Here is an 18,068-nt window from a genome sequence, read left to right on the forward strand (position 1 = left end):
TGATTTTATTTTATTTTATTTTTTTATTTTTTATTATTATTATACTTTGAGTTTTAGGGTACATGTGCACAATGTGCAGGTTAGTTACATATGTATACATGTGCCATGCTGGTGAGCTGCACCCATTAACTCGTCATTTAGCATTAGGTATATCTCTTAAAGCTATCCCTCCCCCCTCCCCCCACCCCGCAACAGTCCCCAGAGTGTGATGTTCCCCTTCCTGTGTCCATGTGTTCTCACTGTTCAATTCCCATCTATGAGTGAGAATATGCAGTGTTTGGTTTTTTGTTCTTGTGACAGTTTACTGAGAATGATGATTTCCAATTTCATCCATGTCCCTACAAAGGACATGAACTCATCATTTTTTATGGCTGCATAATATTCCATGGTATATATGTGCCACATTTTCTTAATCCAGTCTATCACTGATGGACATTTGGGTTGGTTCCAAGTCTTTGCTACTGTGAATAGTGCCGCAATAAACATACGTGTGCATGCGTCTTTATAGCAGCATGATTTATAGTCCTTTGGGTATGTACCCAGTAATGGGATGGCTGAGTCAAATGGTATTTCTAGTTCTAGATCCCTGAGGAATCGCCACACTGACTTCCACAATGGTTGAACTAGTTTACAGTCCCACCAACAGTGTAAAAGTGTTCCTATTTCTCCACATCCTCTCCAGCACCTGTTGTTTCCTGACTTTTTAATGATTGCCATTCTAACTGGTGTGAGATGGTATCTCATTGTGGTTTTGATTTGCATTTCTCTGATGGCCAGTGATGATGAGCATTTTTTCATGTGTCTTTTGGCTGCATAAATGTCTTCTTTTGAGAAGTGTCTGTTCATATCCTTCGCCCACTTTTTGATGGGGTTGTTTTTTTCTCGTAAATTTGTTTGAGTTCATTGTAGATTCTGGATATTAGCCCTTTGTCAGATGAGTAGGTTGAAAAAATTTTCTCCCATTTTGTAGGTCGCCTGTTCACTCTGATAGTCATTTCTTTTGCTGTGCAGAAGCTCTTTAGTTTAATTAGATCCCATTTATCCACCATGATCAAGTGGGCTTCATCCCTGGGATGCACGACTGGTTCAATATATGCAAATCAATAAATGTAATCCAGCATATAAACAGAACCAAAGACAAAAACCACATGGTTATCTCAATAGATTCAGAAAATGACTTTGACAAAATTCAACAACCCTTCATGCTAAAAACTCTCAATAAATTAGGTATTGATGGGACGTATCTCAAAATAATAAGAGCTATCTATGACAAATCCACAGCCAATAGCATACTGAATGGGCAAAAACTGGAAGCATTCCCTTTGAAAACTGGCACAAGACAGGGATGCCCTCTCTCACCACTCCTATTCAACATAGTGTTGGAAGTTCTGGCCAGGGCAATTAGGCAGGAGAAGGAAATAAAGGGTATTCAATTAGGAAAAGAGGAAGTCAAATTGTCCCTGTTTGCAGATGACATGATTGTATATCTAGAAAACCCCACTGTCTCAGCCCAAAATCTCCTTAAGCTGATAAGCAACTTAAGCAAAGTATCAGGATACAAAATCAATGTACAAAAATCACAAGCATTCTTATAAACCAATAATAGACAAACAGAGAGCGAAATCATGAGTGAACTCCCATTCACAATTGCTTCAAAGAGAATAAAATACCTAGGAATCCAACTTACAAGGGATGTGAAGGACCTCTTCAAGGAGAACTACAAACCACTGCTCAATGAAATAAAAGAAGATACAAAGAAATGGAAGAACATTCCATGCTCATGGGTAGGAAGAATCAATATCGTGAAAATGGCCATACTGCCCAAGGTAATTTATAGATTCAATGCCATCCCCATCAAGCTACCAATGGAATTGGAAAAAACTACTTTAAAGTTCATATGGAACCAAAAAAGAGCCCGCATCACCAAGTCAATCCTAAGCCAAAAGAACAAAGCTGGAGGCATCACGCTACCTGACTTCAAACTATACTACAAGGCTACAGTAACCAAAACAGCATGGTACTGGTACCAAAACAGAGATATAGAGCAATGGAACAGAACAGAGCCCTCAGAAATAACGCCGCATATGTACAACTATCTGATCTTTGACAAACCTGAGAAAAACAAGCCATGGGGAAAGGATTCCCTATTTAATAAATGGTGCTGGGAAAATTGGCTAGCCATATGTAGAAAGCTGAAACTGGATCCCTTCCTTACACCTTATACAAAAATTAATTCAAGTGGATTAAAGACTTAAACATTAGACTGAAAACCATAAAAACCCTAGAAGAAAACCTAGGCATTACCATTCAGGACATAGGCATGGGCAAGGACTTCATGTCTAAAACACCATGATGCTTGATTTTATTTCAACTTTTTTGAATGCTTTCAGACTTGTTTTGTGACCTAATCTAAGATCTATCCTTGAGAATAATCCATGTGCTGAGGAAAAGAATGTGTATTTCACAGATCTTTGATGAAATGTTCTCTAAATATCTACTAGATCCATTTGTTCTATAGTGCAGATTAAGTTGGATGTTTGTTTGTTAATTTTCTTTCTGAAAGATCTGTCCAGTGCTGAAAGTGGGGTGCTGAAGTCTCCATCTATTATTTTATTGGAGCTTATCTCTCCATTTAGCTCTAATAATATTTGCTTTACATATCTGAGTGCTCCAGTGTTGGGTGCATATATGTTTAAAATTGTTGTGTCCCCTTGCTGAATTAACCTCCTTATCATTATATAGTTACCTTCTTTGTCTCTTCCTAATGTTTTTGTCTTGAAATCTATTTTGTCTAAGTATAGCAACTCCTGCTCTTTTTTGGTTTCCATTGGCATGAACTGTGTTTTTCCATCCCTTTATTTTCAGTCTATGTGTGTCTTTATAGGTGAAGTGCATTTCTTACAGGCAACAGATCAATGGTTCTTGCTTTTTTATTCATCCAGCCACTCTATACGTTTTGATTGGTGAATCTATTTACATTCAATGCTATTTTTGATAAGTAAGGATTTAATCCTGCCATTTTTTAACTTTGTTTTCTAGTTGTTTTGTGGTCTCTTTCTTGTGAGACATACCTTTTAAACAATGGTCAGTTTTTCACATGACTTGTTTTTTGTAGTGTAATTTAGAAGGCATTGCTTAAATAAATCTCCTATAATACCTTACGGTGTTTCTGTGAAATTTCCATGGGGTAAAAATACTGCATCTTACAAAATTCTTTTCCAAAATGTATATAGCTGAAAAAGGTAACATATTAAGCCATTGATGTGCCATTGTTTAATAAGAGATTAGAAAACAAGTCAATTAATTTACCCAAACACAGGTTGCAAACCAGCTGCTCTTAGCAGAATCTGGCTGCAATCTTGTTTTGTTTGGCTAACAAAAAAGTGTTTGTGCAATGCTTGAATTTTAATGACTTTAAACAAGTGTTTAAATGCTTCTTCCCATTTTCCAGTGGCCCTTCTGAATTTCTATCTTGTTTATACCAGGCTCAAATTATGTATTTATGTTATTTTTTAGCATTTGTGTTTGTGACCTCCATCAAAGTACCAATATGTTTATGGAGTGAGAGAAGGCACCACCTCAAGCTAGTGTAGTTGTGCAGCTCACAGAGAACATGTCTAGCAATTATTAGAGTGCCTTTCTAGGTCCTCTTTTATTAACATATCCCCACTCTATGCTGATAATCTCACCCTATGTTGATGACTCTCAAACATACATAGTTGTCCTTTCTTCTGAACTACGATTATATACAATCTTCTCTTGTACTTGGCACTTAGATTTCTGCAGACATCGCCAAAATTTCACTTTCTAGCTTGCCTCTTATGTTTTCCATTTCAGTTAAAGGCCCAGTATTGCTTTAATGCGAGCTACTTGGGGGCAAAGATACCCCTATATCTCTAGCAAAAGAGACCTATTCTTGGTCATAGTGGGTGCTCCATTTTTGTTTTTAATTTTTTATTTGGAGATAAAACTCACAAGAAGTTGCAAAAATAGTAGTTTTCATGTAACCTTCACTCAACTTTTTCCCCAATAACAACATATTATATAGTCATAGTACATTTTTTAAAGCTAGAAAATTGATATTGGTATAAATATTATTAGTCAAACTATAATTTTTTTCAGATTTTACCAAATTTTACACACACTTGTATTCTTTTTGGGGTATAGTGTGACAAAATTTTATCACATGTATAGATTGGTTTAACAACCACTGCAAACATTACACAAATATGCTACATTGCCGGAAAGAAACACCCTCTTGCTTCCTCTTCATAGTCAGACTCTACTCTATCCCTAAACCCTAGATACTTATTCTCCATCAATACAGTTTTGTCATTTTGGAAGTGTTGTATAAATGAAATCGTATAATATGTAACCCTTTGAGATGGGCTTTTATTTTCATTCAGCATTATACCCTTTCAATCCATCCTACTTGGTGGGTGCCTGTATAAAAATAATTTATTTCTTTATATAGGTAGGTAATATTTCATAGTGTGTATGTATGTATGTACCACAGCTTGTTCATACATTTGCCTATTCAATAACATTTTACTTGTTTTCAGTTTTATCTATTACAAATAAAGCCGCTCTGAACTGTTATGCACAGGTTTTTGAATAGACACAAAATTTTATTTCTTGAGTATAAATATATACACAGAAGTGATCACTAGATCATACAGTAAGTGAATGTTTAACTTCATAAGAAATGGACAAAGAGGTGACAAATACCTCTTCAAGGTGGCTATACCGTTTTACATTCCTACCAGCAAAGTCAGAGAGTTCTAGTAGCTCTGCATCATTGCTAGCACTTGATATTATCAGTATTCTTTTTTTTATTTTAGTCATTCTCATTGCTGTGTGTGGTATAGGTATCTCATTATGACTCTAATTTGTTCTCTAATCTGGCTTATGATGTGAACATTTTTTATATATTTAGTTGACATCTGCATATGCTTTTTGGCGAAACATCTTTCTCTATATATTGTAGAAGGGATTTGACTGACTTCTTCTGTGCTTTGCAAATGTTATCTCCCAGTCTGTGGCTTAACTTTTTATCCTCTTCACTAGGTGTTTGACGGAAAAATGCTAATTTTGATGAAGTTTCAATTTATCCTTTTTTTCTGGATCACCTTTTTGGTGTCATGTTTAAGAACACTGAAACTAGCCTTTTGTTACAAAGATTTTCTCCTAAAAGATTTATAGTTCAATGTTTTAAATTTGTATCTATTATCCATTTTAAGTAAATTTATGTGTGATATGAAGTTTGGGTTAGATTCATACTATTTCAAATAATGTATTGAAAAGGCTACTCTTTCCTCATCGAATTGCTTTTGCTATATATTTGTGGGTCAATTTATACATTTTCTATTCTGCTCCATTGATTTACATGTCTGTCCCTCCTCCAACACCACACTGACTTAGTTACGGTGGTTATATAGTTTTAAAATTGGGGAATATAATTCCTTAAACTTTAGTCTTCTTTTTCAATATTATATTTAGCTAGTCTACTTTCTTCATCTTTCATGTAAGTTTTAGAATTAGCTTGTCTATATCTGAAAAACATAGCTACTTAAATTTTGATAACATTGCATTAAAATTATAGATCAATTTAGGGATAATTAATATCTTTACTATGTTGACTTCTAATTCATAAATATATGCCTTTCTATTTATGTAGGCCTACTTTAATTTTTCCATCTGTATTTTATAATTGTCAGTCTATGGATATCAGGCATTTTTAAAGTATATAACTATTTCATTTTTTGGAGTAATTTTAAATTGTATTGAATTTAATTTTTATGTTCAACACTGATACAGTCATATGCCACTTAACAATCTTTTGGTCAACATTGAGCCACATCTCTGAAAATCATTCTATAAGTTGTGACATAACAGAACTAAAACATTACTATTACTTATCTACATCATAGCCTTCCTAACATCATAACAATGCATTACTCACATGTTTGTGGGATTCTGATGTAAACAAACCCTCTCAGCTATCAGTTGTATAAAAGTATAGCAATACAATTATGTAACATACATAATACTTGATAATGATAATAAATTACCATGTTACAGGTTTATGTATTTACTATACTACACATTTTGTCATTTTAGAGTTTACTCTTTCCGCTTGTTAAAAAAGGTATACTGTAAAAAAGCTTCAGGCAGGTCCTTCAGGAGGTATCCCAAAAGAAGGTATTGTTATCATAGGAGATGACTGCTCCAAGCAGGTCAGAGACCTTCCAGTGAGACAAGATGTGGAGGTGGAAGGCAGTAATATTGATGATTCTTAACCTGTGTGGTGTAGGCTAATGATTGGGTTTGTGTCTTAGCTTTTAACAAAGACATTTAAAAAGTGAAAGAAAAATAAAGAAACAATGTAAAAATAGAAAAAAGGTTAAATAATGACATAAGGAAAGATAATATTTTTGTATAGCTGTACAATGTTTATGTTTAAGTATTACTACAAAGAGTTATGAATTACTGAATTATAAAGAGTCAAAAAGTTAAAAAATTAAGTTTATAGGGAGGCCGAGGCGGGCGGATCAGAAGGTCAGGAGATCGAGACCATCCTGGCTAACATGGTGAAACCCCGTCTCTACTAAATATACACAAAATTAGCCGGGCACGGTGGCAGGCGCCTGTAGTCCCAGCTACGCAGGAGGCTGAGGCAGGAGAATGGGGTGAACCCGGGAGATGGAACTTGCAGTGAGCCGAGATCGCGCCACTGCACTCCAGCCTGGGTGACAGAGCGAGACTCCGCCTCAAAAAAAAAAATAAATAAATAAATAATAAAAAAAATTAAGTTTAGAAAGTAAAAAAGTTAACAGTAAGCTAAGATTAATTGAATATTGATGGTATTTTATTTTTTAATTTAGTGTAGACTAAGTTTATAGTGCTTATAAATTCTATAACAGTGTACAGTAAACTCCTAGGCCCTCACATTCATTTGCCACTCACTCACTGACTCACCCAGAGCAGCTCCCATTTCTGCAAGCTTCATTCATGGTAAGCTCTATTTATATATGTGACATTTTCTTTATTCAATCATCCACTGATGTAAACTTGATACCATATCTCTGCTATTGTGAGTAGTGCTGTACATGTATCTTTTCAAAATGATGATTTCTTTTCCTTAGGTAGATACCCAGTAGTGGGATTACTGGATGAAATAGTAGTACTATTTTTAGTTCTTAGAGAAATCTTCTAGCGTTTTACGTAGAGATTGTAAAAATTTACATTCTCACCAAAAATTGTATAACCATTCCTTTTCTCTGCATCTTCACCAACATCTGTTATTTTTTGGCTTTTTAATAACACCCATTCTGACTGGCATAAGATGGCATCTCATCGTGGTTTTAATTTGCATTTCTGTAATGATTAGTGATGATGAGCATTTTTTCATATGCTTCTTGGCCATTTTTATGTCTTCTTTTGCAAAATGTCTATTCATGTCCTTTGCCTACTTTTTAATGGGATTGTTTGTTTTCTTCTTGTTGAGTTGTTTGAATTCCTTGTAGATTCTGGATATTTACCTCATTGGATGCATACTTTGAAAATATTTTCTTTTCCTGTACGTCTTTTTTTTTTTAACTGTTGATTATTTCTTTTGCTGTGAATAAGCTTTTTAGTTGAATTAAGTCCCATTTATCTATTGTGATTTTTGTTACATTTGCCTTTGAGGCCTTAGTCATAAGTTATATGCCCAAGCCAATATCCAAAAGAGTTTTTCCTAGCTTATTTTGGAGGATTTTTATAGTTTTTGGTCTTATGTTTAAGTCTTTGTATATGGTGAGGGAGAGGGCTACAGCTTTATTCTTTTATATATGGCAGTCCAGTTTTCCAAGCACCATATCTTGAATAGGGAGTTCTTTCCCCAGGTTATGTTTTTGTCAACTTTGTCAAAGATCAGTTGGATATAATTATGTTGCTCTATTGGTTCTCTATTCTGTTCCATTGATCAATGTATTTATTTTTGTGCTAGTAGCGTGATGTTTTGGTTACCATAGCCTTGTAGTCTAATTTGGAGTCAGGTACTGTAACGCCTCCAGCTTGTCGTTATTATTTCAGCTTAGAATTGCTCTGGCTATTCGGCCTGTTTTATTGGTTTCATCTAAATTTGAATTTTAGATTTTTTTCTAATTCTATGAAAAGTGAATTTGGTATTTTCATAGGAATTTCAATGAATCTGTAGATTGCTTTGGGCAGTTTGGTCATTTTAATGACGTTGCTTCTTTCAATCCATGAACATGGAATGCTTTTACTTCTTTGGTTAAATATATTTCTAGGAATGTCTTAATGATTGTAAATAGGATTCACTACTTGATTTGGTTCTTAGCTTTATCATTATTGGTGTTTAGAAATGCGACTAATTTTTGTATATTTATGTTGTAGCTTGTAACTTTACTAAATTGCTTCATTAAATCTAGCAATCATTTGGAGGCACCTTTAGGGTTTTCTAGATGTAAGATCACATCATCAGCAAATAGAAATAATTTTACTACCTCTTTTTCCAATTCAGATGCATTTTATTTCTTTCTCGTTCTTGATTGCTCTGGCTAGGACTTCCAGTACTATGTTAAGGAATAGTGAAAGTGGGTATCCTTGCCTTGTTCAAGATCTCAGGAAAAGTGCTTTCAGCTTTTTCTTGTTAGGAATGATATTTACTCTGGATTTGTTATAAATAGCTTTTAAGTTTTTTTAAACAGGGTCTCACTTTGTTGCCCAGGCTGGAGTGCAGTGGTGCAATCATGGCTCTCTATAGCCTTGACTTCCAAGGCTCAAGTGATCCTCCTACCTCAGCCTCCTGAGTAGATGGGACTACAGGTGTATGCCACCACACTCAGCTAATTTTTGTATTTTCTCTAGAGATGAGGTCTCACTGTGTTGCCCAGGCTAATCTAAAACTCCTTGGCTCAAGTGATCCTCCTGCCTCTCAAAGTGCTGGGATTACAGGTGTGAGCCATCACACCTGGCCATGAATGACTTATTATTTTAAGGAATGTGCCTTTGATGCTTAGTTTGTTGATGGTTTTCATTTGTTGAAGGTTCTCATCATGAAGGGATTCTAACTTTTATTAGGTGCTTTTTTTAATCTATTGAGATGATCATATGGTTTCTGTTTTTAATTCTGTTTATGTGATAAATCACGTATATTGAGTTGTGTATTTGAGCCATCCTTGTTTCCCTGGAATAAAACCCACCTGATCACAGTGTATTATCTTTGTGATTTGCTGTTGGATTCCGTTTCCTCATATTTTGTTAAGGATTTTTCATCTATGTTTATTAGAAATATTAGTCTTAAGTTTTCCTTTTCTGTTGTGCTCTTGCCTGGCTTTGATTTCAGGTTAACACTGGCTTTGTAAAGTGAGTTAGAAAGCTTCTTCCTTGATTTTTTTGAAAGCATTTTAGGAGGATTGGTAATAGTTCTTCCTTGCACAGTTGGTAGAGTTTGGCTGTGAATTCATTTGGTCTTCACTTTTTTCTAGGGGTACTAGGGAGATATTATTGATTCATTCTCACTACTTGTTATTGATATGTTCAGGATTTCTACTTCTTGCTGGTTCAATCTTGGGAAGTTTCCAGGAATGTATTCATTTCCTCCTGTTTGTGGACATACAGTTTTCCATAGTAGTCTGATAATTTTTTGTATTTCTGTCATATCAGTTGCAATGTTTCTTTTTAAATTTTTGATTATATCTGCTTGAGTCTTTTTTAAAATTTTATTATTATTATACTTTAAGTTTTAGGGTACGTGTGCACAACGTGCAGGTTTGTTACGTATGTGTACATGTGCCATGTTGCTGTGCTGCACCCATTAACTCGTCATTTAGCATTAGGTATATCTCCTAATGCTATCCCTCCCCGCTTCCCCCACCCCACAACAGTCCCTGGTGTGTGATGTTCCCCTTCCTGTGTCCATGTGTTCTCATTGTTCAATTCCCACCTATGAGTGAGAACATGCAGTGTTTGGTTTTTTGTCCTTGCGATACTTTGCTGAGAATGATGGTTTCCAGCTTCACCCATGTCCCTACAAAGGACATGAACTCATCATTTTTTATGGCTGCATAGTATTCTCTTAACTTGGTTAATATAGCTATTGTTCAATCAATTTTTTGTATCTTTTCAAAGAACAAAAAGAGCAAACTTTTTGTTTTTTTGGTCCTTTGTATGATTTTTTCATTCTCAGTTTCATTTAGTTCTTCTCTGATCTTTGTTATTTCCTTTCTTTTGTTAGCTTTGGGTTTGGTTTGTTCTTGTTTTACTTCTTAATTGAGGTAAATGAGATGTTTGGTTGCTAATTTGTGATATTTTGATCTAGGCATTTAATACTGTAAACTTCCCTCTTGCACTGCTGTGCTTTATCTCAGAGTTTTTTGTATGTTGTGTTTCCCTTTTTGTTTCAATAAAATTTTCAAAATATGTCTTAATTTTGTTGTTGACCTAAATATTGTTCAGGAGTATGTTGTTTAATTTTTTTATATTTGTATAATTTCAAGTGTTTGTCTTTAATTTATTTTTTAGTTTTATTCCTCTGTGGTCTGACAAAATACTTGGCATAATTTATATTTTTTACATTAATTGAGACTTGTTTTGTAGCATAACATATGGTCTATCTTGGAGAATGTGTCATGTACTGATGAAAAGAATGTGTATTATGCAGTTCTTGGGCAGAAATCTCTACAAATTAAGTTTATTTGGTCTAAAGTTCAATTTAAGTCTACTGTTCTTTCTTGATTTTCTGTTTCAATTATCTTTCTAGTGTTGTCAATGGGGTGTTGAAGTCCTCCACTATTATTGTATTGTTGTCTGTCTCTTTTAGGTCTGGTAATATTTGTTTCATGAATCTGGGTGCTCCAGTGTTAAGTGCATGTATATTTGGAATTTTCATATCTTCTTGTGAATTGGTCCCTTTACCATGATATGAGTTTCTTTTTCTTTTTTTTTTTTAACTGTTGATGATTTAAAGTATGTTTGATTTGATATAATGGTAGCTACTCCTGCTTGCTTTTTCTTTCCATTTGCATAAAATATCCTTTTCCACCCATTTGCCTTCGGACTGTAACTGTCTTTACCAGTAAGTTGAAGTTTTTTATAAGTAACATATAGTTGGTTTGTATTTTTAATCCATTTCACCACTTTATTTCTAAGTGGAGCATTAAATTTATTTATGTTCAAGGTTAATCTGAGTGTTTTGTTCCTGTCATGATGTTAATTGTTGTCTAGTTGCTGTGTAGATTCATTGTTTTTTTTTCTCTTTTTGTCTTTTAGTTTGCTTGAATTCTGTCATATTGGTGTTTGATTTCTTTCTCTTCTTCACTTGTGAAATTGTTTTTTATACTTGTGAGTTTTATAGTTTTGTGTGATTTTATGAAGGTGAGTATCAGTCTTTTGTTTCCATGTTTACAACTTCACTGAACATTGCTTGGAGGTCTGGTCTAGTGGTGATAAAGTCCCTCAGCATCTGCTTGTCAGGGAAAGACTTTATTTCCTCATTTATAAAACTTATTCTAGTAGGACACAAAAATCAGGATTGACATTTTTTTTTCTTTATGCACTTTGAAAATAGAATCCTAATCTTTGCTGGCTTGTAATGCTTCTGCTGAGAAGTTTGCTGTTAGTCTGATGGAGTTACCTTTATAGGTGATAGATGCTTTTCTCCTCCTGATTTTAATATTTATTTCCTTCACATTGGCCTTAGAAAGTCTGATGACTGTATTTCATGATGAAGCCTTTCCTGCAATGTATTTTTCTGGGTTTTGTTGTGACTTTTGTATCTGGATACCTAAATCTTTTGCTAGACTAGGGAATTTTTTACTAATTACTTTCCTAAATAAGTTTTCCAAATTTTTTGCTTGACTTATATGTTTGGCCATATTTTGTACTCCTTTTTCATTATTTTTAATTCATTTTTAAAAAATGTTTTTGTCTTACTGGATTAATCCAAAAGACTTTTCTTCAAGTTCTGAGATTTATTTTCTTCTGCTTCATCTAGTCTGTTGCTGAAGACTTTATCTATTTTTTGTAATTTCTTCAAGAGATTTTTCATTTTCAGAAGTTCTTTTTGATGTTTTAAACATCTGTTTATCTGGTAAATTTGTCATTCATGTTCTAGATTGATTTTCTGATTTATTTGTAACCATTTTCAGTTTGCTCTTTATCCTAATTGAGCTTCTTTAAAAATCAGTATTTTGAATTCTGTATCTGGTATTTCAATAACTTCATTTTGCTTAGGACCCATTGCTGGAAAGTTAGTGTGATCCTTTAGGAGTTTCATAAAACAGTTTTTTAAAATAGTTTTAGAATTGTTATTTTGGTTTCTTTTCATCTGCAGTGACTGTCACTTCTTATTTTTGAGTGTACTTTTAAAAATATTATTTTTAACTTTTAAGTTCAGAGGTATATGTGCTGGTTTGTTACATAGGTAAACTTGTATCATGGAGGTTTGTTGTACAGATTATTTCATCACCCAGGTATTAAGTCTAGTACCCATTATTTATTTTTTTCTGATCATCTCCCTCTTCCCAACCTCTACCCTCTTATAAGTCCCAATGTGATTTGTTTCCCTCTGTAAGTCCCTGTGTTCTCATCATTTAGTTCCCATGTATAAGTGAGAGAATGTGGTGTTTGGTTTTCTGTTCCTGCATTAGTTTGTTAGAAGGTAACGGCCTCCAGCTTTATCCATGTCCCGCAAACAACTTAATCTCATTCTTTTTTTATATCTGCATAGTATTCCATGATGTATATTTACCACATTTTCTTTATCCAGTCTGTCATTGATGGGCATTTAGGTTAACTCTATTCTGTCTTTGCTATTCTGAATAGCGCAGTAATGAACATATGTATGTGTCTTTTTTTTTTTTTTTTTTTTTTTTTTTTGGGAAATGGAGTTTCGCTCTGTTGCCCAGGCTGGAGTGCAGTGGCACTATCTCAGCTCACTGAAACCTCCACCTCCCAGGCTCAAGCAATTCTCCCTCAGCCTCCCAAGTAGCTGGGATTACAGGCGTGTGCCACAATGTGCAGCTTTTTTTTTTTTTTTTTTTTTGGATTTTTAGTACAGACAGGGTTTTGCCACGTTGATCAGGCTGGTCTCGAACTCCTGATCTCAAGTGATTCACCCACCTCAGCCTCCCAAAATGCTGGGATTATAGGCATGAGCCACCTCACCTGGCCAGCATGTGTCTTTATAACATAAAAATATATATTCCTTTGGGTATAAACACAGTAATAAGATTGCTGGGTCAAATGGTATTTCTGTATGTTGGTCTTTGAGGAATTTCCACACTATCTTCCACAGTAGTTGAACTAATAGACATTCCCACCAACAGTGTATAAGTACATCTTTTCCTCCACAACCTTACTGGCATCTGTTATTTTTTGACTATTTAGTAATAGCCACTCGGTTGGTTTGAGATGGTATCTCATTGTGGTTTTTGTTTGCATTTCTCTGATCATCAGTGATGTTGAGTTTTTATCTTTTCATATGATTATTGGTCACATATATGTTTTCTTAGGAAGTGTCTCTCCATGTCCTTTGCCCATTTTTTATTTTTTTGTGAGTTTGCTTAAGTTCCTTATAGATGCTGGATGTTAGACCTTTGTCAGATGAAGAGTTTGCAAATTTTTTTTCCCATTTTTTAGATTGTCTGTTTGCTCTATTGACAGTTGGCTGGGCAGAAGCTCTTGAGTTTAATTAGATCCCATTTGTCAATTTTTGCTTTTTATGTAATTGCTTTTGGTGTCTTTTCATAAATTTTTTGTCTGTTCCTATGTCCAGAACGTTATTGCCTAAGTTATCTTCCAGGTTTTTTAAAGTTTTGGGTTGGTTTTACATTTAAGTCTTTAATTTATCTTGAGCTAATTTTTGTATATGGTATACAAAACGAGTGAGTTTCAGTCTTCTGTATGTGGCTAGCCAGTTATCCCACCACCATTTATCGAATAGGGAATCCTTTCCCCATTGCTTGTTTTTGTCAGATTCAATGAAGATCAGATACTTGTTGGTATGCAGTCTTATGTCTGGGTTCTCTATTCTTTTCCATTGGTCTATGTGTCTGTTTTTGTATCAGTACCATGCTGTTTTGGTTACTCTTGCCCTGTAGTATAGTTTGAAGTCAGGTAGCACAATGCCTCCAGCCATGTTCTTTTTGCTTAGGATTTCTCTGGATATTCGGGCTCTTTTGGTTCCATATGAATTTTAAAACAGTTTTTTTTTTCTAGTTCTGTGAAGAATTTCATGGTGGCTTAATAGGAGTAGCATTGAATCTGTAAGCTGTTTTAAGCAGTATGACATTTTAATGATATTGATTATTCCTATCCCATAAGCATAAAATATTTTAACATTTCTTTGTGCTGTCTCTGATTTCTTTGGGCAGTGTTTTGTAGTTCTCCGTGCAGGGCTCTTTCACCTCCCTAGTTAGCGGTATTCCTAGGTATTCTTTATTTTCATGGCAATTGTGAATGGGAGTATGTTCCTCATTTGGCTCTTACATTGACTGTAGGAATGCTAGTAATTTTATTCACATTTATTTAGTATCCTCAGATTTTGCTGAAGTTGTTTATCAGCTTAAGAATCTTTTGGGCTGAGGCTATGGGGTTTTCTAGATATAGAATCATGTCATCTGCAGACAGGGATAGTTTGACTTCCTCTTTTATTTGGATGACTTTTATTTATTTCTCTTGCCTGACTGTCCTGGCCAGAACTTCCAATACTATGTTAAATAGGAGTGGTGAGAGAGGGCGTACTTCTCTTATACTGGTTTTCAAGGAAAATATTTCCAGCTTTTGCACATTTAGTATGATGTTGGCTGTGTGTTTTTCATACATGCGTCTTATTATTTTGAGGTATGTTCTTTCAATACGAAGTTTATTCAGGGTTGTTAATATGAAGAGATGTTGACATTTGTTGAAAGACCTTTCTGCTTCTATTGAGATAATCATGTTGTTTTTGTCTTTGGTCCTGTTTATGTGATGAATTACATTTAATGATTTGTGTATGTTGAACCAAGTTTGCATCCAGGGATAAAGCCTACTTGACTGTGGTGGATAAACTTTTTGAGGCACTACTGGATTTGGCTAGCCTCACAAGCAGGAATGATTGTTCAGGGTATGGGAGGATCCACTGTTCTCTGCACAGTGTTAGTGCAGGGTTGGGGCACTGGTGGGGATGGGGCTGGCTGGCTCTGTGCTCACCAAGGCTTGCTCTGCAAAGGTGGCAAGCATGGAGAGAGGTGATGGACTGCACTCTCATTTGCTAGTGGTGCAAGTAAAGTAAAACGCACCCATGCAGACACATACCAGTCCCATTGCCATGGGCTCAGGGGATGCTGCAGTATAGGAAGAGAGCATGCAGGCTAGTGTGCGGCCATAGGGGTCACCTCACTGGAGCTCTCTACTGGTCAGGCACAGAAGCTATGGTGTGGGCCCGCAGGGCAACCAAGACTGCCCTGTAAGCAGATGTGGGCAGGCTGGGCCCCTGGGAGAGGCCAGCAGACCAACGGGTGCTCAGGTCCGACCAGCACCGTCTGATGTGCAAGACCATCCTGCAAAGATCACATCAAATAGTGCCCCTGGGGCTAAAGTCTCTTATGGGAGAAAGTTGAGCCTAGAAGAATGGCTGTCCCTGGCCATGCTCCACTACAGGTGCTCCAGCACCAACCCTCTGGGCTCCACATCAGCTGGTTGCTGCCCCACCCCACTTCTTTAAGCAACTCTCCCAGTCATCTCAAGTGTCTGTGGTGGTCAAGGGGTCCCTTCCTGGTGGGGTTTCAGAGCCCATGGTGAGAGTGGGTTGCTCCTTGCCAGTTCAACTCACCCATTGCCTCAGAGCTATTGTGGTTAAAAACGAATCCTGGTGCACAATAGCCCATGCGGGTTCCCAACTTTCTCTCCCTTCATCCCAGCTTCTGTGTCTTTCTTCCGTCCACTCTCCGAGTTTATTTTCACTGGGACAGGACTTTGTTTTCCTTGAGGATGTGACTATAATGTATGTTGATTATTTGGCTTTGCTTCTGTATGTTTTCATGGATTATTTGGCTTTGCTTCTGTATGTTTTCAATGGTGACGCACCGTATGAATTCCTTGGTTATAGATAGCCTTATTGTGGTGGCTCAAATGCTGGTTGTAGAAGTGGTACACTGTGCATGTGAGCAGTCTCACAGCCTCCTGTGAAGCTGAGGTGGCAGGATTTTTAAGAACTGTATGTTTTTCCCAAGTGCCATACAGTTGTGTCAGCAGATTATGTATTGGGTTGTTCAGGCCTACCTCTAGGCCAGTAGGTGACGCTAGCAGGCAAAAGCTGGATGTGGAAGTAACAGTAGGCCTTCTGCTTGATCTTTGTTTACCAGGAGTTCTCCAGTGTCTCAGGCAATGGGCAGGGCCATGGAATGTACCGTCACCCGGGCTCCATACTTAGCTCCAGAGTGGGGGAAATGAAGCTGGGCAGAGCTGGACTGGACAAGATGACACGTGAGTCCCCCAATGGCTGGTGCAAGCACCAGCTTCAGTGGGAGTCCAAGGGGCAGCCACCAAATGCCCAGAGATATGCCCAGGCAAGGAGTTGAGAAACCACTGATGCACCAAGTTCCCCGCACAGGAAGGGAGGGGTGGCCCACGCTTTCAATCCAGGCAAGTAGGATTGGGATCAGCCTCCCTCCCACTCCTCGGAATCAGCAGAGTTCAGTCTCTTTCCTAAGAGAGCAAGATGAGGTACCCTGCAATGTCACACATAGACTGGTCCCCAGGTACAAAGCTGTTGCTGTCTGCAATCTTGCCACCCAGGCAAAACTGTGGCTCCAGCAAAATCTCCTCCTGCTCTAGTCCCATGAGGGAGAGAGCCCAATTCCAGTGCCTGCAGCTGGAGTACATTCCACACTTGCCTCTCAGTTCTGCTGATGGGCGCCCTTCCCATACTCCAAACCAAGTGCTTCAATCTCCAGCCCAAGACTTAAATGTACTCAGTGGCCACTGCAGCCAGATTGCCAAATATTACCTGGCTTGGTATGTGCCTGGATAGAGAATGGCATCCTCCTGGGAAAATGCCTGAAGTCTTTTCTAGCGCCTTTCCTTTTCACAGTCACTCAGCCACTCCCCAAGTCAGATCCAGCACTTGGGAGGGACAAGGTGCTCTTCCATGGCCTGGTTGTATGGTTCCCCCATTGAAAGGTAGATCACAGAGGTACACTCTCTGTCCTTCTCCCATATTGGGGTTACACTCACAGTTCTCAGCCAAATGTGATCATAAAGGCTGCTTGCCCAACTTCTCTTTCCCGGAATCTGAAGTGTACTTCACTTTTCCAATGAATTCTCATTTTCCTTCTTGAATAAAAGATCACTGTGAAATTCCACACACTATTTTGCTATTTACAAGTAGATGAGGCATGCTAACAAAGCCTCTAATCCACCATCTTGGGGAAAAAAATAAGTTCAACCTTTAATCTCAATAGGTGTTGGATTTTTGTTCAAATATTTTTACATCCATTGATAAGAAAATGCGACTTTTCTTCCTTAGACTACTGATGTGGTGGGTGACATTGACTGATTTTCTAATATTAAACCATCCTTGTATGCCTGGACTAAATCCCACTTGGTCATGGTACATTAGTGTTTTAGTATGTTTTAATATATTCATGGGCATTATTTGCTAACATATTTTTGAGAATTTTTGCATCCATATTCATGATGGAAATAGGTTTGTATTTTCTTTTCTTTTTTATTATCTGTATAATTTTGATACAAGGCTAATCCTGACTTTATAACATGAGTTAGGACGTGTAATCTTCTCTTCTATTCTTTGGCACAGATTGTGCAGATTTGGTATTATTTCTCCACTAAGTGTTTGGTAGACTTTATAGTGGATATATCTGAGCCTAGAAATTTATTTTTCAGAAGGCTGTAACTACAAATTCAATTTCCCTAACAGTCATATAGCTATTCAGGTTTTCTAATCTATCTTGTGTAACAAATGAATCACATGCCTATGATTTCAATTGGCTATCCTGGAAACAATGGTGAAATATGGTTTGTTTACTTGCTTTTTCCTTGTATACTTTAGTAATTATTTG

At 36.6% G+C, this 18,068-nt stretch overlaps 1 long non-coding RNA gene across 5 annotated transcripts in view, besides 1 other annotated feature; it reads right to left on the minus strand.

Annotated features, from left to right (window-relative positions):
- LOC101928570 (uncharacterized) overlaps positions 1-18,068 on the minus strand; it is a 248,816-nt gene that overhangs the window by 88,694 nt on the left and 142,054 nt on the right. The window lies entirely within an intron of this gene.
- Positions 16,555-17,055: an enhancer, noted in NCBI's record as "H3K27ac hESC enhancer chr6:77883629-77884129 (GRCh37/hg19 assembly coordinates)". NCBI's record gives its function as "activates a minimal SCP1, AML or CMV promoter by ChIP-STARR-seq in naive H9 embryonic stem cells {active_cell/tissue: H9 hESC(naive)}" and the evidence as "EXISTENCE:reporter gene assay evidence [ECO:0000049][PMID:30033119]".

The sequence above is a fragment of the Homo sapiens genome, chromosome 6 (genome assembly GCF_000001405.40).
Source record: "Homo sapiens chromosome 6, GRCh38.p14 Primary Assembly".
NCBI classification, from domain to species: domain Eukaryota; kingdom Metazoa; phylum Chordata; class Mammalia; order Primates; family Hominidae; genus Homo; species Homo sapiens.